The following is a 17025-nucleotide window of genomic DNA, read 5'->3' as shown; positions in this document are numbered from 1 at the left end:
AAATAAATAAAATTCTTCTTTGTCATAATAGGAAGACATAATGTCTAAAATCTATAAAACAAAGATGCTTACTCACATTATCTAGAAGGTAAAAGAATTGGAAGTGGCCAGGCCCGGTGGCTCATGCCTGTCATCCTAGCACTTTGGGAGGCCAAGGTGGGCGGGTCACTTGATGTTAGGAGTTCAAAACCAGCCTGGCCAACATGGTGAAACCCCATCTCTACTTTTTTTCTCTAAGAAAACAAAAAAGTTAGCCAGATGTGGTGGTGAGCACCTGTAATCCCAGCTACTCGGGAGGCTGAGGCAGGAGAATCGCTTGAACCCGGAAGGCGGAGTTTGCAGAGAGCAGAAATCATGCCTCTGCACTCCAGTCTGGGTGACAGAGGGAGACTCTGTCTCGGAAAAAAAAAAATTGGAAGTAGTTTCCTTTGGGGTGAGGGGCCATGATGCCTTCAAGGGACTGATAATTTTTGTGTAAGACTTTTAGAATTATTTAATTATTTGTATATTATGTGCAAGTATTGCTATAATAAAAGTTAAATTTTAAAATATTTTTCAATGGTTTACCCAGGCTCTTAGGATACAGTCTGAACCCCAAAGCATGGCTTGTGAGGCCTGTCATGATATGTCCACCTCTGTCAACCACTTCAGCCACACTTCTTAACACCTTCATTCTTTCTTCTAAGCACCAACTATATTGAGCTTTCTTTACTCCCTAATACAGATGATGACTTTGCTCACCTCTAGCACCTTCTATGAGCTGTTGTTTCTCTCTAGGATTGCTACCTGCTCCTCCTCCCAACCTTCTCTTGGCTATGCTCCAAAACGCCTTCTCTCTTGTACCACATCCAAGGTAAGTTTGCTTCCTATTCACTCCCTTAGCACTCAACTTTCCCCTAAGACAGCATCTACCACATGTATCATAATATCTTATTGAATTATCTGTTCCCCACCCTGCCATCTAGACTACAAGCAACATGAGAGCCCAATCCCATCTTTTCAGGTTTATTGTCCTACGCTCAGCATCCAGAAAGATGCTTATTTTAAAACTGATGCTCAACACATACCTAGAACAGTGGCTGGCACCCCGTAGACACAACAAAAATGTTGAATGAATGACAGGAAGAGAGAGCAAATTTGCACTGTTAGATTCATGCTGTTCAATAAAGTTAACCCAAGGCAAAATTATAAAAATACAAGGAATCACCAAAAAATTGGAAGATGGGATTTGGGCTCTCATGTTGCTTGTAGTCTAGACGGCGGGGTGGGGAACAGATAATTCAATAAGGTATTACGATACATGTGGTAGATGCTGTCATAGGGGAAACTTGAGTGCTAAGGGAGTAAATAGGAAGCAAACTTACATCGGATGTGCTACAAGAGAGAAGGCGTTTTGGAGCATAGCCAAGAGAAGGTTGGGAGGAGGAGCAGATAGCAATCCTTGCCAGGGGCCAGGGACAAATGGTGTTAATTTCAGTATTTTTCTACTCTTCTTTTTAAACAAGCTTCCCTTGTTTAATTGCTCACTAAGCACACTTTAAATAAAGCTCAACCTTTTGGTATCACCACCTAGGTTAATTCACACTAATGAGTTGGTAACAACATTGTTTCAAATTAAAACCATTAGCAGGAGATGCCCATGCTTAACCCAAAGAATCTTAAAGATGATTATGAGTTCGATGCCTTACTCTACAAGTTTCTACAAATGAGAAAATTGAAGCCCAGAGACATCAATGACTCACCAGGTATCACAAAGCAAATTCAGCTCAAAGCTGGGTCTTCAGATTCCCAACACTGCATTCCCTCCAGGAAGTAACATCTCTTACTTAGGGAGAGAGACATCCTGGGAAGACAGCATGAGGGTGATATTTCCAAAGTTAGACAGGCAGGCTTTCTTGATGCTTCTTAAAATTCAATAGCCTCACGGCACACCTACTTCAGCTGGTTACTGTAAGATTAACGAGCTATCAGCTATGGCAGCACCTGGTAAATTATAAACTGGAAAGCAGTTGGTAAACTGTAAGGTACCTGGTAAACTGTAAACCGTAAAGTCCAGTAAAATACTGGTGGATTTCAGAGGACATTGTCCTCTGACCCTGACAATCCCACCTTAAAATCTTGAGATATTTCTTAGCATGAAAAGTCCCAGACTGAATCCTGCAGAAGTTTAGAGCAACTAGTACCCTCAGTACCAATTTGGAAGCAGTAATTATAGAAATTCAATTCAGGCTGTTTTCTGACAGTTTGCTAAACCTCCCTGGTATAAAAATTTAAGAGCTGATAAACAGTTTACTATTTTGCTGCCAGTTCAGTCCTGAGACGCCTTAGGAAAATATTTCATCCCCACTGCTTCCAGTTGCCAAAAAACAAAATGGCTTCTCTGACAGAATCAGATAGGTAGTAGGTCTCCTAGGCATTAGAACATCCTTAATGAGGGTGAGCATTGGGAAATGTTTTCAATAATTAGAACATTTACCGCAGGATTCTAGAGTCTCCACAGGGTTCAGGAGAGGATTCTTCTCCAACAAGCCTTCCTTCAGTATGCATTAACTGATCTCCTATTGAGAGGTGACAGCATGCTGGCAGCCCTCGCAGCCCTTGCTCGCTCTCAGCGCCTCCTCGGCCTCGGCGTCCGCTCTGGGCATGCTCGAGAAGCCCTTCAGCCCGACACTGCGCTCTGGGGGCCCCTCTCTGGGCTGGCCAATGCGGGAGCCAGCTCCCTCTGCTTGTGGGGAGGTGTGGAGGGAGTGGCGCGGGCGGGAACCTGGGCTGCGCGCGGCGCTCGCGGGCCAGCGCGAGTTCCGGGTGGGCGTGGGCCCCGCGGGCCCCGCACTCGGAGCCGCCGGCCGGCCCGGGCAGTGAGGGGCTTAGCACCCGGGCTAGCAGCTGCGGAGGGTGCGCCGGGTTCCCCAGCAGTGCCGGCACTGCGCTCGAATTCTCGCCAGGCCTCAGCTGCCTCCCCGCGGCGCAGGGCTGGGGAACTGCAGCCCGCCATGCCCGAGCCTCCTCCCAACCCCCGCGGTGGGCTCCTGCGACGCCAGAGCCTCCCCGACGAGCGCCGCCCCCTGCTCCGCGGCGCCCGGTTCCGTCCACCGCCCAAGGGCTGAGGATTGCCGGCGCAGGGCGCGCGAGACTGGCGGGCAGCTCCGCCTGCTGCCAGTGCAGGATCCACTAGGTGAAGCCAGCTGGGCTCCTTAGTCTAGTGGGGACTTGGCGAACCTTTATGTCTAGCTAAGGGATTGTAAATACACCAATCAGCACTTTGTGTCTAACTCAAGGTTTGTAAAACACACCAGTCAGCACTCTGTATCTTGGTAATCTGGTGGGGACTTGGAGAACCTTTATGTCTAGCTAAAGGATTGTAAACACACCAATCAGCACCGTGAGTCTAGATCAAGGTTTGTAAACGCACCAATCAGTGCTCTGTGTCTAGCTAATCTAGTAGGGACTTAGAGAACTTTTGTGTGTAGCCCAGGGATTGTAAACGCACCAATCAGCACCCTGTCAAAACGGACCAATCAGCTCTCTGCAAAATGGACCAATCAGCAGGATGAGGGTGGGGCCAGATAAGGGAATAAAAGCAGGCTGCCAGAGCCAGCAGTGGCTACCGGCTCTGCTCTCTTTCAATTGTGTGGAAGTTTTGTTCTTTTGTCCTTTACAATAAATCTTGCTGCTGCTCACTCTTTGGGTTTGCATTGCCTTTATGAGCTGTAACACTCACTGCAAAGGTCTGCAGCTTCACTCCTGAGGCCAGCAAGACTACGAACCCATCAGAAGGAAGAAACTCTGAACGTGTCCGAACATCAGAAGGAACAAACTCTGGACGCACCGTCTTCAAGAAATGTAACACTCACTGTGAGGGTCCGTGGCTTCATTCTTAGTCAGTGAGACCAAGAACCCACCAAATTCTGGACACACTATTGCATAGAATTCATCCTCGCCAAAGGCATATGTGAAACATTTAAGCAACGTAATGATGTCTCTGAAGTCCTGTGCCGATAGTTTCCAATGATATGTACAGTTGCCATCAGAGATGCACTATCACAAACCTTTGTGGCAGGAGGTTTTGGGGGATTAAGTTATCAGTTAGGGTGCTTTCAGGTGCAAGAAACTGAATACCCCAATAAAAGTGCCTCAAACAATTGGATTTTATTATTGTTATTGTCTCACAGAACAAGACTAGCCATAGGTAGGCAGTTGCAGGGTGGGGTCAGAAGCTCATTGATGTCATTGAAGACACTGCTTTTCATCTTTCTGTCCTGTCATCTTCAAAGTGCCGCTATATTTCCCACCTAGGTCACAGGGTGGCTGCAGCATAGGCAAGCTTTACAATTGCATGTGAAAATACCTGGAAGAAAGAAAAAAAGAGATAGGGAGGAAGACACCTTATTTTCTCTCTTCATGTAAGGGGAAAAAATTGTTTCTCAGAAACCCCCCAGTAAACTTCCCTTTATGTTTTATCAGACACAACTGGATTCAAAAGCCATCTTGAACTGCAAGAGGGACTGGGAAAAGTGAAGCTATCATCTCTGTCCCTATCTTGGAATTGGGCACTTCCAACAGGCAAGAAGGATGAGCAAAACACTTGTTGGGTTGGCTGTTGTAAAAATAAGCCACTATTTTCATGCTTCTAAACACTTTATGTGTATTAGTCCACTAGATCCTCATAACAAACTCTTGGGGTAAGTATGATTCATAATCATTTACAGATAAGCAAACTGAACTGCAGAAGTGTTAACATAGTGAGGAAGTGAAGGAGCCAAGATTCCAACTCCACCATCCGGCCGCAGAGGCTGCACAAGGCGCGGTTCTCAGCCAGCAGCGTCTGCCACAGCAGGCTGCCTCTAAAATCATAACACGTAAAAGTTCTAAGTGATGTTTGTCTGTCTCAGAAGTGCAAATGTGACATTTGCCCCTGGCTGCAGTCATGGTGTGGGTGAAAAGAGCAGAGGGGCATCCAAGAGTGACAAGAATTGCTTTCTGTCATCATCAAGGCTGCGTCAGCTCACGCTGTGGTCAGGTAAGGTTTGAGACCAGGAGAGTCTACTTCATTGCCAGGGGCCAGGGACAAATGGTCAGCTGTCCATCATGCTGTAACGGGAATCAGAAAGTCTTGGCAAGTCAGGAGCAAGTGATTGAAGGGTCCAGTTACAAGCCGGCAGGATTAGAATAAAATAGAGGCTCTAAGTTAGAGGAATGTTTTAGGGGGCATTTCCACTATCTCTCTCATTTTCAAATGAAAAAAAAATGAGGCTAAATAGGGTGGAGTAATTTATCCAAGATCACTCAACTAGTTTAGACAGGATGTGAGGGCTTTTTTTCAGGTGGACACCAAGTAATAACTTGGAGGCATGTCTTCAATGAGACCTTCATTGTCTGACTCCTGCAAAAAGCATCCCTCCTAGCAATTCATACATTCTTCTATTATAATATTGAATTTACTCACTAGTTCCAGGTCTCTCTCATTAGTTTGGGAGGGGCCCAATAGCCAGACCACTCCAAACATCAGATGTGAATCTTGACATCTCTACGTGCTAGCTGAGTGGATCGTCATAAATTACATCATCTCTCCAGTACTCACTCTCTTCTTCTGTAAAATGGGAAGTGCGATAGTTCCAACCTCACAGTTTTGTTGGGACAATTACGTTGTAAACATACATAGCGCTGCATGCCAGGCAGATTCAGGGGTTGGCAAGTAGCAGCGACTATTCACTTTTTATCTTCCTGCTGCCTATTCCCATGTTTGCTAAGTCAATTTTTGAATCAACAGAGGGAACTCTGAGACAACATCCTAACAGCGAGCAGGTGGCAGAGGGTCACCAAGACATAAAGATGTGAGGAAGAGAAGGGCGCAGGGAAAGTATCAGTCCAAAAAGGTAGTAAGATCATATGAAACTAAAGATATGGAATAAACACATGACGTAGAAGTTCATTCGCCATTAACTCATTCTCCCAAACCTGATTTGAGTTACTTAAGATTTAAATAAGACAGGTCCCATTTTCACTGGCTTCCTTAGAGAGACCTAAAGAATTTAAAGCAATTTGCTTTAGGTCATATAGTTGGTAAGTGGCAGAGCCAGGACTAAACACCAAGTTCAAATAGCTCCAAAAACAGGTCCTATACACCTACAAGTCACTGTGAGGATTAAATAAGCTGATACATGCACAGTTCTTGGCACAATGGCTGGTACGGGAGTGGTGGCTGATTCCTTTGTTAGTTTCATCATTATTACTTTTCAACAGATCCCTCTTGTACTGGTCCCAGAAGAGAAAGACTATGACATTATTGCTCCTCAGGAAGAGGTGAAGCCCTCTCACCCCCAATATGCATCAATGTCAGAATCAGGAAGCAGATGAGAGGTACACAGCCCCCTGAGAAGCAGTGCTTGACACAGGCTACTGTAATAGGTGTCCACCCATCTGAATCCTACTGCCCAGCACTCAGCTCAGATGGAACAAGAGGCTGCCAGACGAGAGGTAGGCAAGGTGGCACAGACTCAACTGTCACCCTAACTGTATTTCTCACCCTACCATAACCTTCGTTACTGACATGGTCAAAAAGGAAACAGAGGCTGCGGCAATGGCAGCAGCAGCAACAGTGAAAGCAACCAAGAGAGAAGGCAGCTGGCACTGGAGGGCATCGTGCCAGGTTCCAGGCACAGAGGGATTCTGGCAGTGATTACAGCGGTAAATAGAGCTGATGGTTGTGCCGGGACCCTAGGCCCTGCCAGGAAGGGAGCAGGGGAGATGAGATTCTTATAATTACACTCGTTTAGACTCAGCCATCATGGGGTTACCCACAGAGGACTCTGATCTGTCCCCAGGCTGGGAGTTGCAGAAGCACCTGTTACAGCAGAAGTCATTTGGCAAGCCAAACAAAATGCGGATTCATCCAGGCCACCTGTAAAGGAATTTAATGCCTAACAACCTATGCAAAGCTTCTAATTGTCATAATTAATTTGGCATCTATTCACTGGTAGGTGCTAAACAAGTACCATATGGTGAAAGCCCATTTCCTGCTAACGTGGTTTAATCCCCCACATAATTAAAGCTGTGAGAAATTGTGTCATTTGAAAAACCCAAGCACAATATTTTCCTCACAAAACTGTTTTTAGTGTCTCTTCTTTTGGCCCTCTCTCTCCCACTATTGTTATGAACATCTTACTTTCTTCATTTTATCCAGCTACTGCTTCCCCGATGCATAATTTAGGTTATAATTATTTTCTCATTTTCCCCTCCAGCTGGCACCAGTTTGATCGCTCCCATTTCATAGATCTTTACAATGTCACACTGTTGCTCCAGCTTATTTAGAAATCCTGGAAAGAGGGGAAGTGGAGATTGCAGGGCAGCCTCAGCCCTCAGAAAAGTTTCTCTGCTTTCTCATGTGTCCCAGCTGACAGGATGCCAGGCCAGCAAGCTAATGACCAACAGCTGAGCGCCATGGCAAAGAACGATATAAAGACAATCATCTGGCTTCTGCTACTTTACAAACAAAAGGCAAGAGATAGCATACTGGAGAGAAAACAAAATAAAAACTTTTAATAATGATAGTGTCCCATGTATCAATCTCCCATTGTATTTCCACATTGCACAGTTAATATCAGAGGCCACCTCCACTGACTCAGACTTCCATAAACAAGACACTTTGGACACAAAGGAGTTTCTCGTTCTGTTTCTGTATCTGTCGCCTCTAAAAAATACAGTGATCCAAAGTTCATCACTAAAAGATGTGGGGAAAAAGTGGTGATCAAAACTTTGCAATACAATAATGGACCTTTTTAAATCTAAAAATGTGAAAATCAATGCATCAATTTTCATACTTTCTCTTTTAAATTTTCTTTCTTTTGATCCCCAATATATTATCAGTATAATCAAATGACATTAGTATTAACCAACATCAGCAGTCTGTATTCTGTAAGGAATTGAGCTCATACAATGAATCACCTCGAGTATTTTTTAAACACAAAATTACAACAATTTATAAATGTTAATCTTTAAAATGCACTTGAGAATGATTGTCCCAAAGGTTAAGTGGAAGCTTTTTCAAAAAACAGATCACAAGGAACTATGCCAACCCTTTCCTAAAAATTTCTATAAAATTCAAAGGAAGAAATAAACAGGAAATCTAGTTTACAAATGAAATTTAATATAGTAGTCGTATATTTATAGGCCAAGAGCTCATACGTAAAATGTGTGAAGGAACACAATGGTCAGATATTGAGATGCTGGCAACTGCTCATCTGCCAATGCTGAATTTGGTAATTCCTCATTTATACAGAGGGAAATTAAGTACCAAAGGGCTAGAATAATTTACTTATTGTGGACAAAAAAGTTAAGGACAAACTAAACTTAGTCCAGATAATTCTCAGATCCTCACACACATAAAACAACTTGCATTTATTTTATTTTTATTATTTATTTATTTTTTCGAGGCCAAGTCCCCCTCTGTCACCCAGGCTGGAGTGCAGGGGCATGATCTCGGCTCACTGCAACCTCCATCTCCCAGGTTCAAGTGATTCTTATGCCTCAGCCTCCTGAGTAGCTGGTACTATAGGCGAGCACCACCACGCCTGGCTAATTTTTGTATTTTTAGTAGAGATGGGGTTTTGCCATGTTGACCAGGCTGGTCTCAAACTCCTGAGCTCAAACAATCTGCCCACCTCAGCCTCCCAAAGTGCTGGAATTACAAGCGTGATCCACCATGCTTGTCCTTGTATTTCTTTTAACAAGAGAAAGACTGTGTCTCTTCTGTTCTCCTTTGTCTTCAAGAACTGATTTTTATAGTTTATTAAATATTAAAATTACATAGCTTGTTATAAATTAATTTGTATTTTGCAGACAATAACCATTATAAATATCACTTAGATCTGCAACTATTTTTTATTAACTTTACTGTTTGCATTAAAAAGACAGCACTTTTCGGGTACAGTTAGATAGTCCAATTCAACAGTAAGAACCATTTTAACTCCTAAAACTGAACAACTGTATTAGTTATGAACACTAGATACAAGTCATGAAACTCCAGCTTGAATTTACTTAGGCAAAAAGAGATTTTATGAGAAGGATATCAGAATATTTCATGTACATAAACAAGAGCAAGGCCTGGAGTCTTATACAGCTTGACCCCAGGAACAAGGAAGCGAAGCACCCTCCCTCCCTCCCTCCCCTTTTGTGCTTTTAGTGGTTCCGTTTCAGTCACCTCCATTAGGGTGTGGGCTTTCTCACATGGTGACCACCAGCAGCTTCCAAGCCCCTGATCCACAGCTTCTACTGGCAGAAATAGTCATCTACTCTTTTAGTGCCCATTCAAAAATCCTAAGGACAAACCCATCTGCCTGCCTTGAGCTGCATGACTATATCCAGGAAGATGGAATACCCTTAGTCACAGACCACCTAAAGGGCATGGTTAGAATCCAAGTAGAAACAATTCTCCACAAGAAGCAGGGCAGGCTGCTGGACAGACAAACTGAGAATAATCAAGTAAAACAAAACAAGCACAAACTCTGAAAGCTCAGGCAATGCCAGAAAGGTCAGGTGACACAAGGTTGAATACCGAAAGTTGGCATTAAAGCATTCTTTGAGTGAGAGAGACAGAGAGAGATTTATCTATAGTTATATTTTACTTCTATGTCCCAGTAAAAATAACAAATAAATAACTTTAAAACTTGGTAATACATCATTTTTCTCTCCCCTCTCTTAGATGTTTTTCTGTCACCTTCCCCTGTCATTTGTTTTGGGTCTATAAATTGCCCCTCAAAACTTATGCAAAGCATAATGTGTTCATCAGAATTGTTTCAGGGTTGTATGCGTTAGTTTTAGGATCCAGAGCTTCGCGTGTGCTTTTTTTTTTTTTTTTTTTTTTGAGATGGAGTCTTGCTCTGTCACCCAGGCTGGAGTGCAGTGGCAGGATTTCGGCTCACTGCAAGCTCTGTCTCCTGGGTTCACGCCATTCTCCTGCCTCAGACTCCTGAGTAGCAGGGACTACAGGTGCCTGCCACCACGTCTGGCTAATTTTTTGTATTTTTAGTAGAGGCAGGGTTTCACAGTGTTAGCCAGGATGGTCTCAATCTCCTGACGTCTTGATCCGCCCGCCTCGGCCTCCCAAAGTGCTGGGATTACAGGCGTGAGCCACCGCGCCCAGCCCTTGCGTGTGCATTTCTTTATTCCGGATTCGCAGCATCATCTTTTGGGCTTTGGGAGTCTGATGTAATTTCCAGTTCATACTCCTTTTTCAATTGCTGCACTTTCATGTTTAGGTCCAGTAAAGTTCTAGCCAGCTGGTGGTTTTGGAAATGCATTTCCACCTAAAAGTTAGAAAAAAATAAAAATTTTATTAGCCTGAGATGCAGATCAAATGAAACCACTCTCTGACTACACAGAAGAAATAAGAAGTTTGTAGGAAAAGAAAATAAGATATCAAGGAAGATGTATTTCTCATCTTATTCTCCAGTTTTAACTGTTTGGTCTGGCTATAAAACTGACTTTCTATATGACAAGGTAAAATCCAGATATATAAATAGTTTTTGAAATGGCTTGAAATGAAAACAAAAGTAGCTGATGCACAAAGCTGTCCATATGAAAAATACCTATGCACCGAAGGCTGTTTTCAAGGAATAGCATGTGATCCACAATGAAATCATTTATCTTTATGCGCCTTCTGAGCCACAGGATAACTGCCTACAGCCACCTGAGTATTCAGAATCTGTGCTATTTACTTGATTACTTATCATTTCAAGTTTTCAGGATTTTAAATGGTCTACCTGCTGAGCAAAAACATTTAATGACACCTTAGAGACACATGTATAGTTATGTGTACTTATATAATCTAACATTTTTCACTCTGGAGTGAAATCTGTTTCATATCAAGGCTGATTTATACCATCCTTCAATGGGAGTTTATGAAGGTCCTCGTGCGTTTAAAAAAAGATCTCTAGGGCATGTTACCCGGGGGCAGTCCAAGAAAGCTTAGTCCAACATAATCTTTGTATTATAACTGAAAACTAATGATCAACTACTTGCAAATTTCTTCAGCTAGGGCTTGTTTAATGCAGTTCACGAGGAATTTGTTCTCTCTGCTAAAAAAGCTTCATCAGCTTGTCAATAGAAACCACCCCAGGATGAACCAGGACAGTGTGTTGGTAAAAAGCAAATATTCATGGTCATCTGATTTGCAAAATAAAGCTACTGGATAAAATTATCTTTCAGTTTTTCTCTGAGACATTCCTCTCCATTCTGAAGCACCTAGAATCATTTTTCTGACAGCAAGAATTAGCAAAGAATAAAGTAAATGAATATCCAGCAAACAAGCACTAACAGTAACCACACAACCACCACAACAAAAAACCCTTGCACCTTGCCTGCAGGAAGCTTCAGCTCTCTAGGGTGGCCCAGATGCTCTATAATCCTGCCCTACTTTGAGCTTCCTTTCCTGGCCCTCTTTCCCATGCCAGCTCCCATTGCAGCTGGTCAGAAACCTTGCCAGTCCCTAAATAAATGCTGAGCTGAAGCTCACCTCTTTCTGTCCCCATTTCTGTTTAAGATGCCCTTTGCCACCTCTCTCTGCTGAACCCAGTCAAATGCCAGCTCTTCTGAGAAGCCCTCCCTGATTGCATGGGCAGACATAATTGCCTCTCATCTGTGCATCCACAGCACTCTGTACAAGTGCCTCATAACACGCTGACCAGACGAGACTGATGATTTTGAGGGTAGAGGCTGTATATTATTCATAATTGTATCCCCAACTAAGAGTGCACTGCCTGGGCACACAACCTAGTAGGTTCTCTGTGTGTTTGTTATAAGAGTGAGTGAATTAATTAATTAATTAATTAACTGATGAATATCCGTCCTGTACTTTCATGCAAGAATCAAGGAGAAAAATTATTGGTAATGATTTACCATCTAAGTAAAATAAGTATGTATAATTCACACTTACTTAGGAAATTCAAACATCAATGGTTCTTTAACTTTTCTTTCATCAAGGATCCCTCTGAGAATCTGATGAAAGTTATGAACCCTCTCTGAGGAAAAACTATATGCACATCAAAAATTCTGCATACAATTTTAGGTATATAGAACCCCTGAGATGCACTCACAGACCCTAGAAGTGAATGATTCTTACTAAGAAAACCCAGTCAAACAATAGAAAATAGTATAAATTGCAACACAACTCTAAATTAATTAAATTTGTTCATCGTTCCTTACGAATATCATCCTAATATATGATACATGTACACTTGTATAGGAATATATGTCAGTTCCTGTAAAAATCCAGTTAATAGCCGAAAATTGAAAACTAAGTCTTCTAGTGGTAATGATATTAAGGTACAGTATCCACACTCCTTTGCCTCTTCTTTATGACCAGGATAAAATGATTGACCAAGATGTTGACCATCGTCTGTAACCCAAGGACACATTATTTGTGTATGTGTAAACTTCTCTGGTTCCTTTCCAGAAAAACTCCTGATTTTTTTATAGGAATGTATCAGTTCTTTTTTGGTACAGTCAGAGTCCAAGGTCTATAGTAATCATTATAATAATAAGAGCCACTAAACAATACCCATGGTCTAAGCATTTCATGGAATATTATCTCACATAAGCTCTGGAATCCTATGAGATTATAAATTCCATTTTACAGATGGGTAAACAAACTCAAACTGGCTAAGTAACGATCCCAAAGTTGTAAGGCCAACAAGTGTTAGCAGAACCTGTAAATGGTAATGTTGGTATTTGAGCCCTCATCTGTTTAGATTTTATTGCCACCAGCGGTCTACAGCCATACCACCCTGAACGCACCCGATCTCGTGAGATTTTATTGCCACCCCCAACATATTGCTTGTCTAAAGCTCCTAACAAGCAACTTATTAAAATGTTATGATTGAAAGCTGTCTCTGAGCTTATTCAGTGTAATCTCCTCATCTGATTTAAATATGAGTCCCCTGAGGCTCAGGAAGGAGTACCGGCAGATCCCAAGACTACAATGCAGAGATGGCTGCGCCAGGTTTCAGCCTTCCAGTTTAGCATCCTGGCCCATAGCACAGGCCTCCAGTGGCCGAATGAGGTGGCTCCGGCTACCCTGCAGCTCAGACTCACTGCTTAGACTCAGGGTGAAAACCAGGTGTTTCTTTGACATTGTTGGATAAGATAGTAAATCTGGTAGTAAATCTAATGTAACCCATGTTAACAATCTGAATCTGACACGGAATTTAGGATATTGTCCTTTTTTTGTTTTTGAGACGTTGTTTCACTCATGTCTCCCAGGCTGGAGTGCAATGGCGCAATCTCAGCCCACTGCAGCCTCTGCCTCCCAGGTTCAAGCGATTCTCCTGCATCAGCCTCTGGAGTAGTTGGGATTACAGGTGCCAGCCACCATACCTGGCTAATTTTTGTATTTTTAGTAGAGACAGGACTTCACCATTTTGGCCAGGCTGGTCTCGAACTCCTGGCCTCAGGTGATCCACTTGCCTCGGCCTCCCAAAGAGCTAGGATTACAGGCATGAGCCACAGCTCCGGCCTAATACTGTTCTTCTTAAACTTAGAAATGCGATAACATTCTTAAATAAGACAATTTACTAATGGTTGGCTCAGTTCTAAAGTAGTGGTTAATTGTATTAGTAATCAGTGCAAAAGAGAAGAATTTTCCAAGTCAAGTCTCCACTGCACACTTTCCTAGGCAGCACCATTTTAAAGTCTGATTGCTCCTATTCATTGTGTCCTTTTCAAGTTGTGACTAATTTCCAGTTTTTTGAATTAAAAAAAATCAGTCAGCTAAAATATTTACCTATACACCCTCCTGTTTAATATTCGGATGTAACCTGTGTAATGTTCGAAATGGTGCAATTTTACAAAATACCTTATCACTTCCAGTTTTCTAAATTATTACCCACGGGAAAGATAAGAATAAAACTTGCGGGGCATAAAGAAAGAGTTACTGATGGACACACTCCATCAATCGCAAGAGAGAGTTTATTTCATGGAAATTTCCTCCTCCGCGAGCCATACATACACATAGTCACAGTTCCCTACAGGGCAGAAAACTATAGAAACGGGTTGGGGAGGAGACATCTTGGGTATGTCACTGGTAGACCAGGCACCCCCGCCCCCACCCCCCACCATGGGTCCTGCAGGGCCCTTTTCCTTCCCAACGATGCTGGGGAGGCGGGGGCGTCAACGCCGTGTCCAGACCTGAGGGGCCCCCCAAGGCGTCGGGTGGGCTACGCGGCCAGCGGCTCTGCAGCTGGAGGAGAGGACCCGGGAGAGGGAGCCCTGGGAGCCGTCCGCCTAGCCCGCTCTCTCACCAGCTCCGCCCGCAGCCTGGCCAGGGTGGCCTCAACGCCCGTCCAGCTCTGCTCCTCCCGCGCCGCCGCCGCCGCCGCCGCCTCCTGCACGCGCCTCGAGATCGCGCGCTGCACCGCCCACTGGAAGGCGCGCGTCAGCCGTCGTCTGAGGTCCTCCAGCAGCGGGCTGGCGGCGAGGGCCTCCTCCTGGATGTCCGTGCTCCTGCCGTCCCCGAAGAAGTCGCACGCGGGACGAGGTGGGAACCAAAGCTCCGCTCTACCTGGGAGTCCCTGGAGCCCCTGGGAAATTCTCTCTCTGCAGCGGCGGAAGTCCCCGGGGCCCATCGCGGAGACGCCTGGTCACTGCTCTACCGCTGCTGCTGAAAGATGAGTTTCTAAGTTTGATGTTTAGGGCGGGGTCAGGGCGGGGGCGGAGGTAATTCAAGGACCCTTGCCAAGTGGGATGCTGCAACTGCCCCGCCATTCAGAGACGCTCCTTTGCTCCCAGTCCCATCTTAGTCCTCCATTAGCGACAGAGGAAGGAGGCGGTTCCCATAACTCCAGGAGAAGTTTAAGCTGAGTCGCTTTTTTCTGCTGCTTGCATTGAAAGGAAGTCTTTCTAAGGAGAAGGCTTGGTAACTGAGCAGTCAGCCTATGTAAGTGGAAGTTGAGGTACAGGTGGAAGGTTTATGACCAAAGGTTAGAATATTTCAACCCAAAGCCTTCCTGGTTGCCTTGATCGTCTAATACGTCATTCCTTAAAAACAATTTTTTTTCTTCCTACTCTGCCAGGCACTTTGCCAAGTTTGGGGAATGCAAAGGCTTAATTAGACCCCTCACCTTTCCCCAGGTATTGCCCGCAGTCAAGGGGGAGAGCCTTGGCCCTGCTTGCTAGTTAGAATGTACCTTCTACAGGTTCAGTAAGGCATACCTGGAAGTCTGAGTCTCCATGCTCCTTTCTATTTTGACTCCTGTCTGCCATGTCCACGTTTATGAAGGGGTTAAAATGAAAAATCAAAATTCCCCTTAGCCCAAAGTGTGTGTGTTTAATTCCCAACTAATAAGGTTTGGCTCTGTGTCATCACCAAATTCCAGTGGAATTGTAATCCCCAGTGTTGGAGATGAAGCCTGGTGGGAGGTGATTGGATCATGGAGGTAGAGTTCTCATGAATGGGTTTAGCCCCATTCCCGCCTGGTACTTTATAGTGAATGAGTTCTTACCAGATCTGGTTGTTTAAAGTGTATGGCACCTCCTCTCTCTCTCTCACTCCTGCTCTGCCATGTAAGACACTTGCTCTCGCTTTGCCTTCCACTATGAGTAAAAGCTCCCTGAGGCCTCCCCAGAAGCAGATGCTGCCATGCTTTCTGTATAGCATACAGAACCATGAGCCAATTAAACCTCTTTTCTTTCCAAATTACCCAGTCTCCGGTATTTCTTTATAGCAGTGAGAGGACAGACTAATACACCAACTCCAGGTAATCATGTGCCAATATTACCTGTATATCCTTTATCAAAGAACATATTCTGCCTCTTTTTGATCTAATAGGGAATTTCTAAAAAGGAGTGAACAATCAAAACTTTTGTATGATCAAAGAATGCAATTACAAAAAAAAACAAAACATAGTTTAGACACAACTCTCATCTTATTCATCATTCATTCATTCATTCATTCAAAAGTTACAAGTCACTTGCAATGTTCCAGGGTCCATGGTAGGCATTGAAGGCAATAACAACTGATTTTTATTCATGCTTAGTATGTGCCAGGCAATTTTTATGTATTAATCTTCACAGCAACCTTGTGAGGTAAGTACTATTAGTTTCTGCATTTTACAATTGAGGAAACTAAGGCAAGAGATTAAGACGTACACCAAAGATCTCAAAGCTGGTAAGGGATCCACTGGAAATTTGCACCTAGGAAGTCTGGCTTGTGCTCCAAACCACTGGGATACACCCTGGATACGCTTTATCTCCCAAAGAGGAAGAGAGTTGCTCAGTTTATATGTTGCATGAGTGAGTGAGTAAGAGTGAATAAGTGTTTAAATTCACTATGTTCATAAAATTCGGCTCTATTGAAATGGCTTAAGGCTCAACTGGATAAGGAACAATACAGGTTACTCAGCCTGTGCAGATAATCTACTAAATTGAACAGCTTGCAATAGTTTACAACCCAAGCACAGTAAAATTCCTACCATTGTATATTGCTTCATAAAGATTCCCTAGAAACATCTGAAGATGTGTTGTCTTGGTAGAAATTATAAAAATCCATGTGGTCTGCCATGCAGCAATGGAGTGTGAATTTAGGGTTTTTTGTTTGTTGGTTGGTGATAGGTTGATGGGGCTTGAAAACCACCACTAGTCAATGTACAATATAAACGTTTAAAATGAATTTTTTGCTATGATTTTTCACTTCCATTTCCAGATCATTTACTTCAACAAGAATTTCAGTTAAGTTCAATTTAACTCAACAGTGAATGGCGCATGTTCAGTGTTAAGAATTGTGCCATATGAGGGAGATACAAAGATGAATAAGGCATAGTTTTTGTCCCCCAGAAGCTTAAAACCTGAGGAAGCAAATTTATTGATTCATTCATTTAACAATATTTATTTAATGTCTTATTATGTACCAAGCATTACACAAGGTGCTCAAGCTACAATGGCAAACCAAGGAGACAAAATGTTTTTTTAAAATAAACTGGTTTACCACAAATTAATAATTTTCCTCTATAGGTTAATTTTTCAGTTGTGGTACAC

General features: G+C 43.4%; 2 protein-coding genes and 1 long non-coding RNA gene across 6 annotated transcripts in view, besides 1 other annotated feature; 1 reads left to right on the top strand and 2 right to left on the bottom strand.

Moving 5' to 3' along the window:
• Positions 1–2645, bottom strand: part of SLC30A8 (solute carrier family 30 member 8) — a 226498-nt gene extending 223853 nt beyond the window's left edge. For 3 of the 4 annotated variants that reach the window (NM_001172813.2, NM_001172815.3, XM_024447083.2), the window contains exon 1: positions 1743–1887. The gene's annotated coding sequence lies outside the window, so the exon portion shown is untranslated. Of the gene's footprint in view, positions 1–1742; positions 1888–2476 lie in introns of those variants that run through there. The other variant, NM_001172811.2, reaches the window with a different exon arrangement.
• Positions 4938–7512, top strand: LOC105375715 (uncharacterized). The gene is made up of 4 exons (XR_928565.3): positions 4938–5020; positions 6244–6477; positions 6825–6976; positions 7242–7512. It is a non-coding gene; the product is annotated as an uncharacterized LOC105375715 (long non-coding RNA).
• AARD (alanine and arginine rich domain containing protein) lies at positions 8375–14655 on the bottom strand. Its single transcript, NM_001025357.3, has 2 exons — positions 14295–14655; positions 8375–10304 (listed from the first exon to the last, which is right to left on the bottom strand). The coding sequence occupies exons 1-2, from the start codon at positions 14616–14618 to the stop codon at positions 10161–10163; spliced, it is 468 nt and encodes a 155-aa protein (NP_001020528.1). The 5' UTR covers positions 14619–14655; the 3' UTR covers positions 8375–10160.
• Positions 14286–14385: a silencer, noted in NCBI's record as "silent region_19475". NCBI's record gives its function as "represses an Ori minimal core promoter by ATAC-STARR-seq in GM12878 lymphoblastoid cells {active_cell/tissue: GM12878}" and the evidence as "EXISTENCE:reporter gene assay evidence [ECO:0000049][PMID:35858748]".
• Positions 14656–17025: the final 2370 nt, after the last annotated feature.

Source organism: Homo sapiens, chromosome 8 (assembly GCF_000001405.40).
Source record: "Homo sapiens chromosome 8, GRCh38.p14 Primary Assembly".
Lineage (NCBI taxonomy): Eukaryota > Metazoa > Chordata > Mammalia > Primates > Hominidae > Homo > Homo sapiens.
The sequence above is the reverse complement of the archived record's forward strand: the minus strand, read 5'-3'. Positions and strand labels throughout refer to the sequence as shown.